Here is a 2531-nt window from a genome sequence, read left to right as displayed (position 1 = left end):
GAAAACATGTACATTTTATAATGAGTTTATCCAAATATACTGATGTAATCAGAGTTAACATTCTCCGAGTGTCTCCTATGTGGTGGGCACTGAATGGAGAGCTTCCCATGAGCTATGGAACCCTCACAATAGGCTGTGAGGCAGGAGTCAGTATCGATCTCATTTCACAGATGAGGAAACTGGGCCTCAGCGGGGCCAGCAAGTTGCCCAGGGTTCTACTGCAGGCAAATAGGAGTGGTGGGTTTGGAATCCAGATCCACTTGAACACAATCAGTTCCTGTTCTAAGGACCCATGTAGGAACCTGACACTTCACAGATGTGGGAAGGGGAGCTCCATCTGGAAGTCCCAACCTTCCCAAGAGTTTCTGTAGTTACCCAAAGTTACTACTAGTATCCTTCTCTCCAAGCTTTGTTACCGGAGAATTTAATTCAGCAATAATGGCAGAAGGACGTGACTGAGTGGGAAGGAGAAAGTTTATCCAATTGCTTTTGTATTCAAAATGGTTTATTATATTAATAGACAATTGGTTATGGGAGTGTGCTGAATAGACCAACTACTCTATGAGGCAGACAGAATTGGTTCCTTTAAAGCATAGATGCTGAACCAAAACCTACACCATTCTTCTCTGTTTCTGAATTTGAAGGTGCACATGCATAGCTGATATTCAAGCCACATTCTTATTTTTTTCTTTCACCAAGAGTGTCGTGTTTTACAGTGTTCCCCATGAATTTACAAATAAATGGAGAATTCTTATCAAGTGATAAAATCTAATTTTTGCAAGAGGTTATATATGTGCAAAATATGGTTCTGGGCATAGGAACTTCATGTTCTTTCCAAAAGCTGGAATAATTTTAGACTCACCGGACGCCATTCTCAAAAATGATAGCCCATATGACTATACTTGTTAGTGACCATCAGTGGCATATTATTTTCTCTGAAGTCATTCTGTCTAATTCACTTGAGGCATCAGTAATGGGCACTTTCAACCTGTAGCCCAAATGGCAGTGGTGTTCCTCTAAGCCAAGCGGTAGCCGGAACAGAACAGAGCAGCTGCCTGAAGCACAACAGCGATCTCAGCCCCTCCCTGATCCAAGGCTGATTTTCAGGGTCACGTGTCTATTTTCATTGTCTCCTGAGATAATCTCATAAGAATAAATGTCTACACTGGAGGAAAATTCTACAGTGGAGGGTGCGGAGGCCTCCAGCCCCCATCAGCTCTTGGCCCAGCTGTGCCCTGAGGATTGCTATGGAGTCGAACGCTCCATATCCGGGCTCTGCTCTCCTGAGCCCCCAATTCCTACAAAGGGGAGAATGAAGCCTGAACACTCTCTACCTCACCCCCATGCTAAATAGAGGATGCCCAGCCAATTACCAGCTGCCGTGGGACTAATTCATTAGAGAAACAGAATGAATACGAACTATACTTGTGAAATTTGGGAGGCAGTTTTGTTAGGTCTATGAGGACTTGCTCATCAATATAGTTTATTGAGGGAAGGGAGTCATTTTTCAAGCTTGTGCTCCATCTCACAGTCTTCAGTGAGAGAACAACATTCATTTGTGTGCCACCAATGGTAACAATTGGCATTCAGTGCTTTGAAAGAGAGAAAACTGATCACTTTACTGAGTCTCTCCTTGACTAACCAGAGGTTACGTTGAGGATATACCATATTTTTCTCACGAAAATATGTTTCAATTGAAAATTATGTTTAGTGATGCAGAAGTGGGACTCAAATCAGTCTGAGCCCGGCGGCTCATGGATGAAGCATGGGGAGCCGAACACACTTCTAGGGGCCACGTGTCAGGTTGTCACGCATGGCTATTTCTGCTAAATGCTATATTCTTTTTGACTGACTACCTCACCCAAGCAGAGTGATAGAAACTAAGCTGCCTTGCATCAAGCTCAGCGAGGGAGATGACGTTTATGAATGATAATTTAGGTCACTTTAGACACCTAAACAGCTTAGAACCAGCTTCTACCCAACACATACTTTTTGCTCTATTTTTCAAAACGATGATAGTCTCCAAATTTCAGAAAGAGGAGTTCTCTACCTTCTACTAACAGAATATGCAATGTAGATGTACCTCAATTTTACACATTTTGCCCTCCCCTAGGTAAAGTATGTGACGACTAAGTGTATCACAATTTTCCTTTGCTTTCAAATATTTCAAAGCCAGTATTTTCTCCTATCTCGACGTAACATAAAGAATAAGATACACACCTATCAATAACGACCTCTTGCCATTTCCTCATCTCTCACTGGAAAACACATACAGCTATCTCCAGCTTATCAGAATCTGGGTGGGGTAAAGGGGCAGAGTTTAAGAATATTTTAGATGATTTTGACATTCCATCCTCCTCTACCGTAGATAATGCCTAATTTCCTAAGAACTGGTTTCTACAAGAATAGCTCCCTGCTACATGAAACATCACCTGATTAAATGTTCAATGTTTCTCCCTGTCTCTCTCTTCATGTTGGTAATGAATGAGGCACTTCTGGGGACCAGGCAGTGCACCAGGTTAATCTGCATG

The sequence above is a fragment of the Homo sapiens genome, chromosome 13 (assembly GCF_000001405.40).
Source record: "Homo sapiens chromosome 13, GRCh38.p14 Primary Assembly".
Taxonomy (NCBI): Eukaryota; Metazoa; Chordata; class Mammalia; order Primates; family Hominidae; genus Homo; species Homo sapiens.
The sequence above is the reverse complement of the archived record's forward strand: the minus strand, read 5'-3'. Positions refer to the sequence as shown.